Here is an 18,196-nt window from a genome sequence, read left to right as displayed (position 1 = left end):
ATAAAAAACTGATGTTCAGTAATGATAGTAAGTTGATACTTATATTAATAACCAATAAGTGGATGAGGCAAAATGTAAATCTTAACCATTAAACTCTGCCTAGCCAGTGCTAGCTGGAGTGGTTGGTTGATTTTATTATGAAAATAGAAATAAGATTCTGCAGGAATTAAATTGGCACATAAATAAAACCCTATTCATCTTTCATTCAAATTTAGTTAGCTTGTTAATAAGAATCCACATCATCAATGACATCTTGGTCTGCTGTGACTGAAAAGCTGTTACCACTGATTTCAAATGTATAAAATTAGTATTTAACAAACTATTTTAAGCCTTTTCTCCCTTTTAAATGACTAAAAGTGTTCTTTAATAATGGAAATTCTTGCTAGCCATTGTCTTCTTTACCATGTTACTGTCTTATAAGATACCCTTATTAAAATGCTAATTAAAGCTCTGAAAAAAGTTGAAGAAGTTCTGCAATTCATTTTAAGTAAGAATAGATATTAACACCTTTCACTTTGTGATAATGTGCCTTGTCATTGCTAAATAATATAAAGCTGCTTTTTTCTTCATATTTAACAAAATGAGTTGGAGACAAGCTGCTGACCTTTTAATAAGAGTCTCACTAGAACACTGAGTCAGAAAGCAAACTGAATTGGTAAGCAATTATTAGGGATTATACTTAGTTTTGGACTCTAATCAGTGTGAATGGAATGTGCAGCTACCATAGACATGGTTGGAGTTGAATCAGGAACTTGTATTATTAGACTCTACAGAATGCTTGTATGTTGAATGGACCAGAAGATATTTTGTCAGTCTTATAAGACTCTAAGAAATAAAACAGATGCTAAATGCCTAAGTATAAAATGATTTTTTAAAATTAACCTGCTCAACATTTTTTCATATATTAAATGATTCAGAATAGAAACTCATAGTATTCCAGCTCATTGTAAATATCTTTATCTTCCTTGAAATAAACAAACTGACAAAAAATAAACCCAGAAATTTTAGAGTAGAAGGTGATGATTTTACACATTATTATTTTGTAGAAACTTACCTCATATTAGTCAAAAGGGCTCTCCTGCAGAAAATCGTTTTGGGATTTTTCAAGCCAGCCACTGTTTCAGTGTACTGCAAATGTCAAGGCACCTCCAGCTTTTGCTAAACTAAATGAACATACAAGTTAGCCACAGTTAAAAGGTAATAATTTTTTTTTCCCATTTTTCCTTTAGGGAAAGGTTCTTGCTCTGTCCCCTAGATTGGAGTGCAGTGGCACAATAATGGCTCAAGCAGCCTCCAACGCCTGAGCTTAGACAATCCCAGCACCTCAGCCTATTGAGTAGCTAGGACTGCAGGTGCATGCTACCACACCCAGCTAATTTATTTTTTATTTAATTTTAATTTTTTTAAATAGTTGGGATCTTGCTATGTTGCTCAGGCTGGTCTTGTACTCCTCCTCCTCTCTTATTCTTTAAATCATTTCTAGATTACATATAATATCCAAGACAAGGTAAATGCAATGTAAATTGTTGTTACATTGTATTATTTAGGGAATAATGACCAAAAAAAGTCTGTACATGTTCAGTACAGATGTGACCATCCATTTTTTTAAAAAAATTTACAATCCATTGTTGGTTAAATGTATGAATGCAGAACCCATGGATACGGAGGGTTGACTGTATTTTTATGTTACAGAAACTTCCAGCACTGCAATGTTATCAATTTCTCGTATGTATAAGTTTCTATTTTTGTATACTTTGTTCTTTAATCAATTAAAGGTGAACTTCGTGAAAATATAAGGAAGAGTTCTACTTCATTTATACATCTTTTGTATTTTTGCAATGCTTATAGTGTGTTTAGTTTTCTTATAAGACCCTGTGACCATTGTTTCATTTCCCACCAATTGTTCAGATTTACGTAAATATTTTACATATATGATAAAATTTAATTTGTCAAATTCTTGAGAAATCTGGTTGAGATTTTGATTGTTTAAATTTAAGTAATACATTTAGGGAGACTTGGCATATTTTTTATATTGAGACATTGCCACCAAAAAGAAGGCAGGTCTTACCATTTATTAACATCTTACATTTATCATTAATCTTTCATATTTTTCTTTAAATGGTTTTTGGACATGTCTTTGAAGATTAACTTATAGGTGTTTTAAAAATTATTTTGTTATTATCAAATGTTTAATTTTCCCCAGTTAGTAGTTGCTGCTATTAAAAAGATCTATTAATGTTTTCATTTTTAATCACACTGACTATTTTATTAGTTCTTATTCAAAGAGACCCTTCATACAATACCTCTTTATTGATCTAGAGCCCTCTGATATTGACCATGCATGTAATACCCTCTTCATTCTATTGTGAAAATACTAGTATTACAAATTTTGCCTACTAATTATTGTTCTTATCTAAGTCACACTAAGATCTTCGGCCATCTTTCTTAGTGAGATACATATTACAGTCTTGCAGTATATGAATCCTGACGATGGGTGAATGCACAGATAAATGAGAAAACTTGAATTTGAGAGTGATTTTATGTGATTTCATGCCAGTCTCTTAACCAGTCTAAGGTTTTTTTTTTATTCAAATCTATAAAAGGTGAGAAGAAAAAGAATACCTATATCACAGGTCGTTTTATGGAACAAGTAAAATAACTTTTTAAGCTATAAAATAATGAAAAATATCTCGTGTTATTTCTATTACTATAATACTTTGGCTATAAGTAATGTTATGCCTATAGGATTTTTCTTTTAAAAATTCTTTGGTTTGATACATCTTGAGGGTACAATTTTCTTAGGTATTCTATATATTCCTTTATAGAAAAAAATACTGGGCCAATATAGTGAAAAGTGGAAATTAAACTTCAGAAATTTCACACCACAAAATAATTAAATGTTACCTGTCTATATGTAGAAATACACTATATGTTTCTTTTGCCTAATTTAAAACTTACATGAATTTTAGTTTTCACATTTTAATCCTAGAGAGTAACATGATTGGTAACTGAAAGTGGTCAATTTGATTCTTTAGTTTATTATCACCTTACTGTGGCTTTTCGCAAAGTTACTTAATCTGTCTCTCTTTTGCTAATTGTAAAAAAGAAAAATAATTGTTGAAATAACTATGGCTTAAACAAAAATGGATGAGCTAACCATATGGAATGTAGATTTTTTACAGATATTAAAATGTTACTTTAGCAACAATAATAATTTTATTTCAAGGAAGACTGATGAAATGTAAATTTTGGTCTTAAAAAAACACTCCAACAGGATTAGTAAAAAGGCCTATAAGATCTTTCAAGACCCTGACTACCTCTTTCAAAACATCATTTCTTGAGTAAAAAGTAATCAGAAACATTCTGGGTTCCTCTTGAAACTGATGTGATCTAAAAAAAAAAAAATTAACACAAGAGAAATAAAAAAAGATGTAAGAAATTTGGGTCAAACTTAAATGTCAACAAATCCTCTCCTTTGTCAGGGACATAAAAGATGAAAATGTTTAGACTTTATTTAACTTGAAAAGAGCAATGCTTTAACACTTGGAATCTTCACTATTTTACTCTCTATTATTTTAGAAAATAAAAAAATCTCAGAGTAGGAAGAAACATTAGGGTTATCTATTCCACTGCGGTCAATGACTTAACCTCTTTTATTGTATTTCACTCGAATGTTGGCTTATTTTCCTATCTACTCCCTCACACAAATTGTTTCAATTTGGAAAAACTGTACTGGCTAGCTATTGCTTATATTGATCTTAAATTTACTTCCTAGAGATATCTTAGATCCTAGATTCAAATAAAGTAAAAGCAGAAGAAAGAGCAGCTGAAGCTACACAGTATGATGTTATGTGATAGATCTGTATCCTTATGTTTTGCAGAGAAAAGAACACAAACAAAATGAGAAAATAAAAAAAGAAGACACCCAGAAGGGTAATTGCTCTCGGTACTTTCTAACTATAAGAAGAGGCATTGTAATTTAAACAAAGGTGTCATCCAGGAGACAGGCATGCCTTTGGCATGATCCTAATATATAGTCCTTAGAAAGACAAGTAGAAGGAAAACACCACCCCTCACATACAATCTATAGTTGGAAAATGGATAAATTAATAGAGATACAGACCTAGCAATTTATGCATATGTAAAGTTCTATGGCTTTATCTCTATATCTGCAATCATTTTTATATTACAGACACAGAAATTTTTCACGAGAACATGCTGGTATTTGAAATGTTCCAAAAAATCTGTTCCATTTAAGTAAGCCTATCTTAGTCGATTCCCCCATCTTCCAAAATCATGACGCAAAACAAATATCAACTAATGACAGAATCCAGAAACAAAGCTTTTTAGAGAGACAAGGAAAAGCATGGTGGTGGAGAGTAAGTTGCATCAGGCCAGACACGGCGGCCCACGCCTGTAATCCCAGCACTTTGGGAGGCCAAGACAGGCAGATTACCTGAGGTCAGGAGATCGAGACCATCCTGGCTAACATGGTGAAACCCCATCTCTACTAAAAATACAAAAATTATCTGGGTGTGGTGGCACATCCCTGTAATACAAGCTACTCGGGAGGCTGAGGCAGGAGATTTACTTGAGTCTGGGAGACGGAGGTTGCAGTGAGCTGAGATCATCCTACTGCACTCCAACCTGGCCGACAGAGCAAGACTCTGTCTCAAAAAAAAAAAAAAAAAAAAAGTTGCAAGCATCTGAACTCCAGGCCTTTAAAGAGAAAATGTTAAGTGCAAGGGATGGTTCCCGTTCTCAAGAGATTGGGGAAGTTGGCATGTTCCTGAGGCAGAGACTGCAGCACCAGGGGAAAAGGCAGGGAACAAGGGTTACCTAGAAGCTGAGAGGTACATTCTTACTCACATGATTTATGGAGGAAGAGTTTTCTGGAAGGGGGAAGTGAGATAATAGGACAGGCCAAAGAAAAGACATAAGCAAAAGTGTGGTCTCAGTTGAAGACTAGCCTCAGCCTGATCCAATGGCAACTCAGGAGTACAAACTGCCCCAACGAATTGGTCAGAGCTTGAGACTATCCTTTGCTACCCCAATACCAGGCCATCATTAGTTTAGGGATATCCTGGGGCATACTTACGGTTGGCTTGACATCCCAGGCAAAACAAAAGACAGTTTTGAATAAAATCAGAGGCATATAGGATGTAGGAAGAATTATTTACAGCCTCAGAGTATTAGACTTTAAGTGTTGAATAATTCCAATCAAAAGTCAGAGTTAATATTTTGGTTTTTAGTACTGGTGTGGGGGCCTATCAGGTATGAATGGTGCCTACATGTCCTTTTCAAATGAGCAAAATTTTAATATTTACTCAAAATCATTTGATTTGAGCATTGCACTCATACCTGTAGACAGGAGAGATGGGATATACTGATTGACTTTGAAAGTCTGAGTCCTTTGGCCTGGTAATGGGGTCAACTAATCCAGGACCATATGGATTATTAAAAAGAGGTATAGAAATAATGGGAAAATGAAAGGAAAAGTGGTTGTCAGAAAGCAAGCACATGTCTGTTACTATTACCCGGTACACTCTTGTGTTTATTGACTGGGGTACAGAGTCCAAGTGAGACTCAGAGATTCCAAGGAAAAAAATGCCTGATGTCCTCTAACCTTCAGTCCAGAGCTCTTTCTATCATGCTGATTTCTTCACAATCCTTCTGCTTAGTTTCTTCTAAACCTTTCTAATAAAATCGTAGGTCATTTTCCATTAGAGTTGTAAAATAGTAGTAAGTAATGAATTCTTAGTTGTATTCTACTGCTCATTTTCTTGTGTTAATCACTGCCTTGCATTAAGATCATCTTTCCACAGTGTTTTAAAGAAATTATAGTCACCTGGTTCCATTTTCACAGGTTCCAATTTAAGAGATTCAGGCTAGAGTATGGATGCTTATATTATTCAAGGCACTCTACAAGTGATTGCACGCCAATTAAAACTTCTGTTAGGTTGGTGCAAAAGTGACTGCGATTTTGACCATTACTTTCAGTGGCAAAAATTGCAACTACTTTTGCACCAACCTAATCATATCTGTTTGAAAATTGCTAAAATCAAGGAACCTGCATAAAGAGATTGACTGATTTTCTGTTATATTCTGGAACAGTTCCTTTAAGGTGAGTGTTTAATTCAGCAATTATATATTTGCAAGTTTTGATTCATCTTACATAAAAGGCCCATAGGGCAATTATCACCAGGCTTCTATAAGTAGCGGCAGCCACATTACAAGTTTAGGGAAGGCGTTCTTGTCCATCATTAAAGAGTGAAGCAAAACTTCACTCTTTAGAAACAAGTTTTAAAAATATTCCTTTCTAATAGTATTTCTTTTATATATAATATTGGGGAGTGATTTCTAAGATTTTAAACATGAAAATAAATAATTATACACTGTGGAAATTCCTTTCTCTTTGGATATCTTGAAGATAGAATAGTTAGAAATATTAAGAAACAATAAAAAGTAATATTAAAGCTCTCTTCTACAACACAGTTCCAGTTTGAAATAACTGGATTTTAAAATGAAATAAAGAGAGAATATAGTCTGAGTGAGATTGAAGGCTATGCTAAACTGTTCATTGTCAGTTGTTTTATAAACTTAATTTTCTTAGCATGAATTATGTTTTACTTTATTAAAATTAATAAAGTATGTAAAATTTTACATATCTATAAAATATAAAAATTAATTCATGCTAAAGTAGATAAAAGTAAAGAAGAAAAACTGAGCTTATCAAAGCACCACAACTGTCCAAAATAATAGAAAGCCAATTAACATCTCTGACGAGTTAATTAAAATACATATTCAAAATGGGTTATTTCACTTAAATTGATTATTTGTTGTTTTCTTTACCAAACTGCTGTATATAAAGTAAATTGTATTGTCATCTTTAAAATGTTAGAATATTCTGAATATTAATTAATAAACATTAAGTTCATGACACCAAAGTCAATTTTTAAAAAATTGGAAAGTATTTGTTTCTAGATGTTTCTTCAATATAAGTCTAAATTGGTCGTGAGTCATTTAAAGAACTCACTTATTTTGGAAAATAAACTAGTCTGCTTTTTAGAAGTTACAAAGTACCAGTTAGCAAATCTATTTATAAATCCAGTTCATAAATGTTCTCCAAAAATTTCAGATAAACAAAGCTCCCTCTGCTTGGTTTTCAGAATACTTAAATTATTTATGATAATGTTAAATATCTGGTAAATATTTTCCAGTATGTTACTCTCTTTATTTAATCTTCTCTTTCTAGCTTATTTTAATTTTGCTTTCTATAAATAATTAATAGGTATGTTAAAAGACTATAACTATAGTCAATTCATCAAGTTACCTCAACTGTTTCCATTTGGGTAGTTATTTGTCACATTTAATCTACCTTTACTAAAAATAGCATTGAGAAAATTTAAATACACACACACAAACACCACACAGTTTAAAGGACCATTTATTACCTCAAAACTACAAGGTAAATAGACAACTAGGCAAATAGAATCAATGACATAGAACAGACCATTTAGTCTCAGCATGTGTAAAAGCTTCATAGGAATAATATGTAGAGATAAAACTCTGGGAGTAAGAGGTGAATTGTCCAATATATTGGGTTGAGAAAATTGAAAAGATATTTAACGATTAATTAATTCAGATACACATTTTACTTTAGGCATTTTACAAACCAGAAGAATGGAAAAATTTGCAATAAAAAAGAAGATTTATATAAGCATTAATGAGGAAAGTTTTTGTAAGCATTGGTAAAGTAATAAGAGACAAAGGCAATAGATATGACTTCATAAATTTTTAATATTCGTACACATAAAATATACACTTTAAATTATAATTAAAGGAAAACAAGTTGGAAACTAATTTTGAGTTAAATATAATTGTTAAAACATTTAAGTACTCTTAAAAATTGATAAGAAGATCACCACATCTTCAGGAGAAAACTAGTCACAGGCTCTAAAAGACATTGTCAGGAAAATACATACAATTGGTCTTAAGCTGCATAATATATTGTCATTGGTGATTATTTTGTACCTATAGTCTGTGAATTTACTCTCTATCCACTTTTAAGCCCTCCCTAAATAATCCCATTTATACTCGTGCCTTCAGTTATACACCCAGGGCCCTCATATTTGTATCTTCAGCTGAGAATTATTTTTCGTGCTTCAAATGATTCATGGATGTAAACAAAACGAAGTTTTTCCCCACAGTTTCTTAAAAGTAGTTCACATTTAACAAATCCAAAATATATTACATGACCCAGTCACTCACAAAACTTATTCTTCTACGGGTCTCCATTCATCTCATGATACAAGCTAGAAAATAGAGTCATTATTGACCACTCTTCCATCATCATGAATGCCCAAGACATCTCCTGGTCCTGTCAAATGTACCTGCAAATATTTCCAACTTTTTTCTCATCTACCTTTTCACCTTGTCTCCATGCATTCACATGGGCTTCATTCCAATTTATTTTCTGCATTAAAAAACATAACTTTGTTTAAAAGCCAAATTACATGTTGTCATTCTCTATTTAAATCTCTTTAGTGCTTCTCATTAAGATCCAAGGAAAGGATTTAAATACTATCTAGTTTTTATGCTTATGTTTTATATTCACCTATCCCTCCAATCTCATATCACCAAAGAACAATGCTCTCTCCTACCCCAGATCCTTTATAGACATTATTCTTCCCAGAACATTTTCTATCTGCTTTTTTGTGTCTAATGGCTATTACTCCTCTTTTAGCTCTAAGTTCACTGAGAGTGTGTCCATGGCAGTTTTACATGAACCAGAGATTTAACTTCCCTATTATGATCTCTCATATCACCTTGTACACTCCTCCATAGCACTGACCACAGTTTTACAACTGTAACTGTAGCTGTTACATTTATTTTTGTGATTGTTTCATTTATGCCTATCTTTTTCCATTCACTGTAAATTTCAGAAACTTAGCTACTCATGCTCTCTCTAGTACCCAAAACAGTGTCCAAAAGATAGGAAACCAAAAAACCTTTGATCTACAAGTAAATGAAATAAAGTCTGTATACAACAATGGGATGAAAAAGAATAATTGGATTCTATTCTGTAAAAAAGAAATGGAAGTATTGCCTTTAAATATTTCCACTGGGAGTAAAACTTAGTACAATCTTTTTTGGAAACCATACCAACTAAAAGATAATCCTTAAGAATTGTCACAAGATTTATTCTAGTAGTTTCACTTCAGATATTGTAATTTTTACACTAGAAAAAGATGGTGCAGGTTCTTATTTAGTTGAATGAGAAAAGAATAAAATCCAAAGGAAATATTCAGAAAAACTATCAGTGTTGTGAATGAATATACACACATACACAAACAAGAAATCCATTTAAATGTTATGTACTATGACAAAAGTAATACAAACATTCTGCAGGTTTTAAAAATATGTTAGGCCAGTCGCGGTGGCTCACGCCTGTAATCCCAGCACTTTGGGAGGCCGAGGTGGGCAGATCATGAGGTCAGGAGATCAAGACCATTCTGGCTAACACGGCGAAACCCCTTCTCTACTAAAAATATAAAAAATTAGCCAGGCATGGTGGTGGGCGCCTGTAGTGCCAGCTACTTGGGAGGCTGAGGCAGGAGAATGGTGTGAACCTGGGAGTCAGAGCTTGCAGCGAGCCGAGATTGCGGTACTGCACTCTAGCCTGGGTGACAGAGCGAGACTCCATCTCAAAAAAAAAAAAAAAAAATATATATATATATATATTTTGATGATAAATGTAATAAATGAGACATTGTTATAAAAGATTTAAAGTTTTAGAGATGGTTAAAATTATGCATATATACACAGTAATAAAACTAAGATTAAAATAAAAAATACCAAAAAGTGAACAGCAGTACCTGCCTCTGATTTTTATAGTGATTTTTTCCATGTATTTTTCAACCAACATGACTCATTGCTATAACAAAAAATTGTTTAAAAATTCCCAAGATTTGCTATTTCATATTTCGTATTACTTTAAGGAAACTGGTCTAATAAGTTAGTGACAAGATTAATTCAACCTGAATAGGCTATTTTCTGCTTTCAGAATGTATGTTTTCCACTTGCCATGAATTCTTAGATTCAATAAGGACCTCTCTGCAGGTTTCCTAACAAATCTTTAGATTCATGTCAGGTGTACATTCTGATTTATATATATTAAGATTACTTAAAATCAGTGAAGCAAACACAGTCATGATTGCTAAATGCCAAGTCACAGAAATTCAGTATTAGTCCCACTAACTCTGTTCATTTCATATCTTAAAAAATGTTGATAGAGTTGGGGAGAAGAAAAATAAAAAGTCAATTGGGCATAGAATAATTAAATTGTGGGTGAAGCTAGAGATTGTTTCTGTCCCGTGAAGCCTTGACAATATTTGGGCAGTGTCTCTGCATTTCATATTTTTTAACTTACTTTTTCCAATAAAAATGATACATATTTATTTTCCAGTTAGGGAAACTTTTACTGGCTGGGACTCTTTTAAAATATGAAGTCTAGTCGCATTTTAAAAAGTAGCTTTTCTCATTAGGTTAAACAATCAGGCCAGATAATTTAATCAACACAAACATTATTAGGGATACCCATAGACAAGTCTCATTAATGACAAGAACCATCACAGGAATTTTAGACAATGCCCTGTATTTCTGATGAGCTAGGAGAAAGACAGAATACATTCCAAATAACATATTCCTTGGTGAACATACGGATTTTTTAAAACTATCACCAGGAGATCATAGTACAAAATATAATTTAGACTGCTAATCCACAAGAGACAAATTACTTACTATTACAAATTACTTCTTAGCTTCCCATTAGCTTATATAAGTTCTAATCATAGGAATGAGTAAAATCATGAGATTCTATGGTCCTTTTGCCATGTATGCTTGCTGTGTTGTAATAGTTTTGTTAGAGAAGATAGAAAGCTTACCACTCAGTGCCATAAGTGAGAAGGAACAACAACAACAAAAAGGACTGTGGCCAGACATGGTGGCTCATGCCTGTAATTCTAGTGCTTTTGGAGGCCAAGGCAGAAGATTATTTGTGGCCAAGAATTCAAGGTTACAGTGATCTATGATTGCACCACTGCACTCCAGCCTGGGTGACAGAGTGAGACCCTGTCTCAAAAAAAAAAAAAACAAAAACACACACACATATATATATATAAAGAAAAATAATGAATGTGGAATGCTGTCATTGTCAATAAAATAGCATATAAAGTAGAGGAGAAAAGTTACCTACAGAGATGATGGTGTGACTTAGTTTTGCACATGGAGATCAATTTCAGATTTTGTTTTCCTTTCAGAAAGAAAGATTAAAAAGCATTTTAAGAGATAAAAGAGGCTTTTTCACAAGAATAAAAAGTTTAATTTATAAAGTACCAAGAAAATACATCAAATCAAAATATATATGCATCCAATATATGGCTTCAAATCATATGAAACAAAGATAAAGAGAAACCAGAAAGAAGTAGCCATATTAACAATCATTGAAGGAGAATTGAAACTTACGTAACTGTGCATTCCAGTTACAGAAGAAAAAGTTGAAAAAAATAAGAAAGGGCAAGGAAGATTTGAGTAAAACCAAAATTTGCAGAATATGTTTTCTTCAAGCACATATGGGCCACTGATAAAAAGTGACTAATTGCAGGTCTATAAACCAAACCTCAACATATGGTTAAGCACTGAAATCATACAGAATATACTCTCTAACTGCAGTACAACTGCATTAAAAATGAATAAAAAATAAAACTAAGAAATCTCCAAATAATTAAAATCTAAAAAATACAATTCTAAATAATACACATTTCAAAGAAGCTGCAAAAAAATAAATATTTGAAGTAAATGACAATGAAAACAATCCATACATTGTTTGTAAGATACAGAAAAACAATTTCTTGAAGAACTTTGTTAAGTGAGTATATTACAAAAGAAGAAACATTGAAGATTAATGAGTCAAATATCCACCCCAAGAAGTTAGGCAAAGTTCAATAAAAAGAAAATAAAAATAAAAGGATCCAAAGTAAGTAAAAATGTACAAATAATAAAGAATAAAGCATAAATAAATAAAAAGCAAAATAAAAATACAAAAGAGAGGATCAACAAAGTAAACTATTAATTTTTTGAAAAGACCAGTAAAATTGATAAAACTCTGGCAAGACTAATGAGACAGAGAAAAAGAAAAAGAGAAAGAGAAATCTTATCACTGATATCAGGAATGAATAAGAAAATTTTATTGATTCACTTTAGGCCCAGCAGAAAATAAGACAATAAGATATTGTGAACGAATTTATTTCAGCTAAAATGAAAAACTAAATAAAATTGACAAAGCTTTTAACAACACATATAAAACAAGCAATATAGAAAACTTATGTAATTATATATTTAATACAGAAAAGAAATTAGTAATTTTATATTTTACCATTGTGAAAATTTTGTGACTTAATGTTTTCATTGGGAAAACTTACCAAATATTTGAAGAAACCATATTTCAAATCTTAAATAAATTATTCCAGAGACTGGAATGAGGAAACACCCCTTAAATCAATTTAAATGGTAATTATAACTTTGATATTAAAACTGAGAACATCAGTACAGGCAAAGAAAATTACAGATAAACTAAAAGATACCAGATACAAAATTCTAAATAAAATATGAGTAAACATAATGAACCAATATAGAAAGAGAATTCAACATTACCAAGGTCAATCCTAAAAAAGCCAATCAACATGTTGCATCCCATTAACAAGCTAAAGAAGAAAAATCATTTGAGTATCTCAGTAGTTTTAGAAAAAATTATCTTATAAAATTTGTGTTACTATACAAATAGAGTGGAGCTTACTTAATTAAACAAAGATTTTTTTCAACAATAAACAGAGAAGCAAAAACATAACAAAACAAAAAATTTTAGAATCATCATACTGAAAGTGAAACATTAAAATATTTTCTCTGTACAAATAGGGACAAAAGAAAGACTCAAAATTACTACTTCTATTCAATATTGGAAAATGCTGTAAAGAACTAAAATAAATTAAAGTATAAATATTGCAAATAGAAAATCTCTAAATGTTTATAGACAATAGGATTTTGTGTGTGTGTTTAAAAATTCAATAGACTCTAAACATTAATTTTTTAGAATTAATTGGAAAGTTGAGCAAACCTCCTGGTTTCTAGTACAACATTCAGAAACACACTACAAAGAAAAAGATATAATTTACAGTATATGAAAAATATCAAGTACATAGTAATAAATTTGACAAAGGTGTACTTGAGTAGAAAAAATAAAAGTATAAAAATTTAATGAAAATCTTTAAGAAGGTCTAAAAAAATAGATTTATGGCATAGATTGCACTACAGAACAGTGAGTAACCTATAGTCTTTTCGAGTAATTTATGCAGAGGCATTTAAGTACTGATATGAAAATTATTGTACCTCCCATTTATACTACAAAAATTCATTCCAAATAATTTATAGATTACATGTGAATAGCCAAACAAAGCTTTTATAATACAGCATAGGAGGCAATCTTTATGAATCCATAAGGGACCAGTTGAAAAGCATTATTCATTAATTATGTTTATTATTACAAAGTATGAGGAAGATTCCTTAAATTATTCAAAAGCATGAACATTGACTTGAAATGATACTCATGATACATAAAATGAGAAGAAGAAGTAAGAACAATAAATCCATAGTAATCAATGCCATTTGGCATTGACACTAAGAGAAGAGTATAGATTATGAACAGAATTAAAAGTCCAGAAATCAACTTTATATTTATGGTCAACTGACTTTTGACGAAAGTGCAAAGACAATTCAATAGGAAAAGAATAGTCATTTCACAAATGCTGCTGGAAAAATTATATATCCCCATTGAAATATTTTTTATTAGAAAAAAGGGGGGAACCTTGCACCTCTACCTAACATTATATAGAAAATTTATTAAAAGTGGATCAAAGACCTAAATATAAGAGCTATAACCATAAAAACAAACAAACAAAAGCATCTGGAAAAAAGAGAGAAATAAATTTTTTGGCCTTGGATAAGGCAAATAATTCTTATATGTAATACCAAAATAATAATTCTTATAGGACAAAAATTGATAAACTGCACTATACCAAAATTTGAAACTTCTGCATCTCGAATGACATCATTATGAAAATGAAAATATGAGTGAAAAACTAGGAGAAAATATTTTCCAATCGTATATCTGGTAAATAAGTTGTATCCAGAATACACAAAAATTTTCACCATTCAATAGAGAAGAAAAAATTTAAAAATGGGCAAAATAGTTGATTATGTATTTCACCAAAGAGATACACAAATGACCCATGTTATTATTATTATGACTGCTTACTAAGCATCTACAATTCTCCATACCTCGTTAAAGATTCTCGACATTCCAAAACTAAAGATATTGCCTCTGTCCACCATTTTAAATGGCAAGAAAGTTTGAAATTTTTCTGATAAATACATACATATGGTGATAATGGAGCTAGAGCAAGGGTTATTGAATTTAGCCTGAGAGGGGAGAGGGCTTTATCCAGGAGACATCTTGTTTCCAAGGAGACAAGACAATTGACTTCAACCTTAGAAGAGTCAGTTGTCTCAAAACATGTAAATTGAGAGTAGTCAGTTTAGTTTCACTTGCCTACTTTCATTAAATTATTTTTCTTTTTGGCTCTTAATGTTCTTATTCCTTCTGTGTTACCTTCCTCAAAAAACTAAGCCATTGGTCTTTATCTTCTGTGTAAAGTTTTCAGTTATCATGTCTCAGGTCCCAGGGTGGCTTGCTGCATGAGGAAATGGTCTTCATGTATTAATACCAATAGACTCTAAAGGCACATCAGACTTTTAAGGTTGCATACACCTATGGAAACTTGGACAAAAAAAACCCTTATAAACTTGCATGATGAAGTTCTCTCATTATTAAGCTGCCCCTATTTTAGATAGAAAATAAATGTACATTAAATTAAATTTATATTACTATATTTAGTTGCCGGGTCCATTCCACAGACCCTGACCGAGCGACAGATGAAAGCAGTATTCAGACACAGGTATCCAGTGAAAGAGCAGGCTAGGGGACTGCCGGCACTAGGGGCCGAAGAAAGTTAGCAGTCTCCATAAGCCAGAGCCACTTGTATTTATTCAGTACAGATTTAATGACAAAGGCTTGGAGCCAACACAACCTGTGGATAATTAACATTGCCGTCCCCCCTCCCAGGGAGTAGTCTTGCACGGGGATGATCAAAGGTCAGTTTCCGGACAACATAAGTAAACAAATGTATCTAGATAAACTCCTTTACACTCCCTTGTTACCTACTTCTTGCCCTCAGCCTCAAGGTAAAAGAATTAGCCTCCTTCAGCTTTTATTCTCTCCCAAATCTTTGCAAAACCTCCCAGCCTTCAAAGAAGGTTTGTGTCTTTCCCTATAACTTTTCTTATAACTTTTCCCACCACCCAGATCGATATCCTACATTTTGTCATGATACATACCCTTTTCTTTCTCTTTGTGTAGATACAACATAGATTAATTTAGTATAAGACATACCACTTTCAGAACCAGCCTCAGAACTTAGTGACTGATATGTTCTTCATCGAGCAAAATCATCTTTGAATTTGGAACACATCTCAGTGGATCCATGTATTAGTCATGTGATTTTCAAATATGTTACCTAACTTCTTTGAACATAACCTGATTTTCAAAAGGGAATAATGATACCTACTTTATCAGGATTGAGTCAATCAAGGTTCAGTCAGGAAAATAGACACCACCTTATTTGTTATCAATAGAAAGGGTTTAAATGTTGTGTTTAAAAAACAAATGGAAGATCTGAAACCACTGTCAACACAACAGAAGTATATGGCTATGAAGAGCTCAGTCCACGGCCATAGCAAATTCAAGATCTCTGCGAAGCTCATCCAGATAATCTCAGCTTGCAGCAATGATGCAGGTTCTTCTCAAACAGCTCATCTGAGTTACTTTGAACCTTGTAGCTGTCCAGGAGCAACTGTCTCTGGAGCATAATGGTCTCTCTTTGTCTCCTGCATTTTATGTATCAGACAGAATTTCTCATTTCTCTCTATGTCAAAACCATAAGTGGAAGTGAATTCACTAGAACTCAGTTCCTATTTTTCCTTGAATCAGGGAGAATTCAGAGGGGGTGGTGCTGATACCAACTTTGTAAGACAATTCAGCACTGGTTATTGAGATATTAAGTAAGATTAAATGAAAGGGGTTTAGTATGTAGTGTCACATACAGTATATATTTAATAAGTGGTGATTATTATCATGAAGTAAAGTTCTAAGATGTTATACTCTCCCAAAGCAACCTAATCTATACTTAATAATTATTTACTGGAAACACTGAATGTCCGCTCTAATGATTTATTGACACTTCTAGATAGTTATGTATGCCATTTTTTTGATTTTATATTAAATAGCTAAATTAAGACTATAGGAAAAATTGCCTTCATTATGATTTGATAGTGCTTTCATATATAAAAAACCAAGGCTTATACTTTCAACATATTGTAACTACCATTTCTAAATCATAAAAAAAGAGAAAAGATCTTTCGAGTATGGTGTACTTTAGTAGGAATGGTTACATTTATAACATCTAAGAAAAGTTGAAGAGGGCGCTTTAAATTCACTGCTTCTTAATTCTTTCAATATTCTTAACAGCCCATTTCTTCTACTGTATCATGAGAGTTCCATTAAACCAATACATTTAATTATTTCAGTGAAATGTTTAAGGCACTTTTAAAATAAAGGCTGACTTCAAATTTTTTAGAGGCATTGTGGCTGACATTGAATAACCAGAATAGAACTGATAATAGAATACTTCACAGGGTACAAATACCTTTAGCAACCCTCTATAATTAGCAATTTTATTGTAACCTACCCTTCAGAAGATATCCAAAACCCTATATTCAGCTTACGAATAATGCATTGTACTCAAATTATATAGTGAAGTATTGAAACTTACAGAACTACAAACTATGCTTTCATTTAATATTTGAATGGATTAACAGTATTAGCAACAATTTAAAAAATGACATAACTGGTATAATTATGTATACTAAGTAATTTAATATCTGCAGAAGTTCATGAAGTATGTACAATAGTGATCATGGTTTTTATGTTGATGAAGAAATTGAATCAAAGATGACTGAAATAACTTGCCCAGTATACAAAGCAATCAAGTGACGAAACCAAGAAATTAACACAGCAGTTTGATTACGTAACTGTTTATTCTAAACAATGTGTTTCTATAATAAAGAATATCAGGCCTACCCAGTCTCTCATTGCTCAGGTGAGTGTACTGAGGCCATACTTCCAGATTATTAGTCAATAATCTTATTATAATTAGAGAGATAACAGAATTACTATATTTTCTAAGTATCCTAAGAAAACCCTTAGCATCCTTACTATCTTTACTATCTTCAGGTAAAATCTAATATAAACTTATTTTACAACGTGATAAGTAGTAAAACAGGGATAAGATCGGAATGTGAAAAGTGAAAAAGAGAAAGTGGTGGAAGGCTATTATTTTACATGCAGATAGGTATCTATGTTTTCCAATCATTTATTTACCAATAGTATCACAATAACCTTTAAAATAAGTTGTTGTGGCACAGTCCAGCCACTAGTCAGGCCACACTGAAACCACTAAGGAGCTGTGTGAAAGCTCCTGGAGCTTTTTCATCTTCAAAATTAGCAAACTCCAAGTGATTTTAGCTTATCAATTGGAATATACTTTAGGTGGTTTCCTAGAACATGAGAGAAAAATATTTATAGAACACCTGAGAATATTTTGAAGATTTTTACTTCTTTATGTGAGCAAAAAATGATAGTTGCTCTTTTTGGTGGTAGTTCAGACTTCTATAGCTTAAAAACTTGAAGTAATGACCAGCTGATATAAACCTAACTTCACCATCTGATAGTCAACTTCTAGAAAGCACTATTATTATATGATAAGAGATAATGTGGGTTAATTAAGATTATCAAGCTTTTACATAACTTTGGGAACTCAAGGACTGAAACATTTCAGGGTTCACTGCTTTCATGCCAATGTAAAAGAAAAAATGAAGACATAAAGTGTAATTCATTCTAAAAAGTTTATTAATGGAATTGCAAGAAGCTTTAATTACATCTAGTTTGCTGATTCATTTTCAATGC

General features: G+C 32.0%; 1 long non-coding RNA gene across 1 annotated transcript in view; it reads right to left on the bottom strand.

Annotated features, from left to right (window-relative positions):
- The window catches only part of LINC01515 (long intergenic non-protein coding RNA 1515), a 195,117-nt gene that overhangs the window by 75,876 nt on the left and 101,045 nt on the right, over window positions 1-18,196 (bottom strand). Inside the window, exon 4 of the long non-coding RNA NR_120647.1 lies at window positions 1,055-1,163. This is a non-coding gene — a long non-coding RNA (long intergenic non-protein coding RNA 1515). The remainder of the gene's footprint in view (window positions 1-1,054; window positions 1,164-18,196) is intronic.

Source organism: Homo sapiens, chromosome 10 (genome assembly GCF_000001405.40).
Source record: "Homo sapiens chromosome 10, GRCh38.p14 Primary Assembly".
NCBI lineage: Eukaryota > Metazoa > Chordata > Mammalia > Primates > Hominidae > Homo > Homo sapiens.
This window is presented reverse-complemented; position numbering and strand designations above follow the sequence as displayed.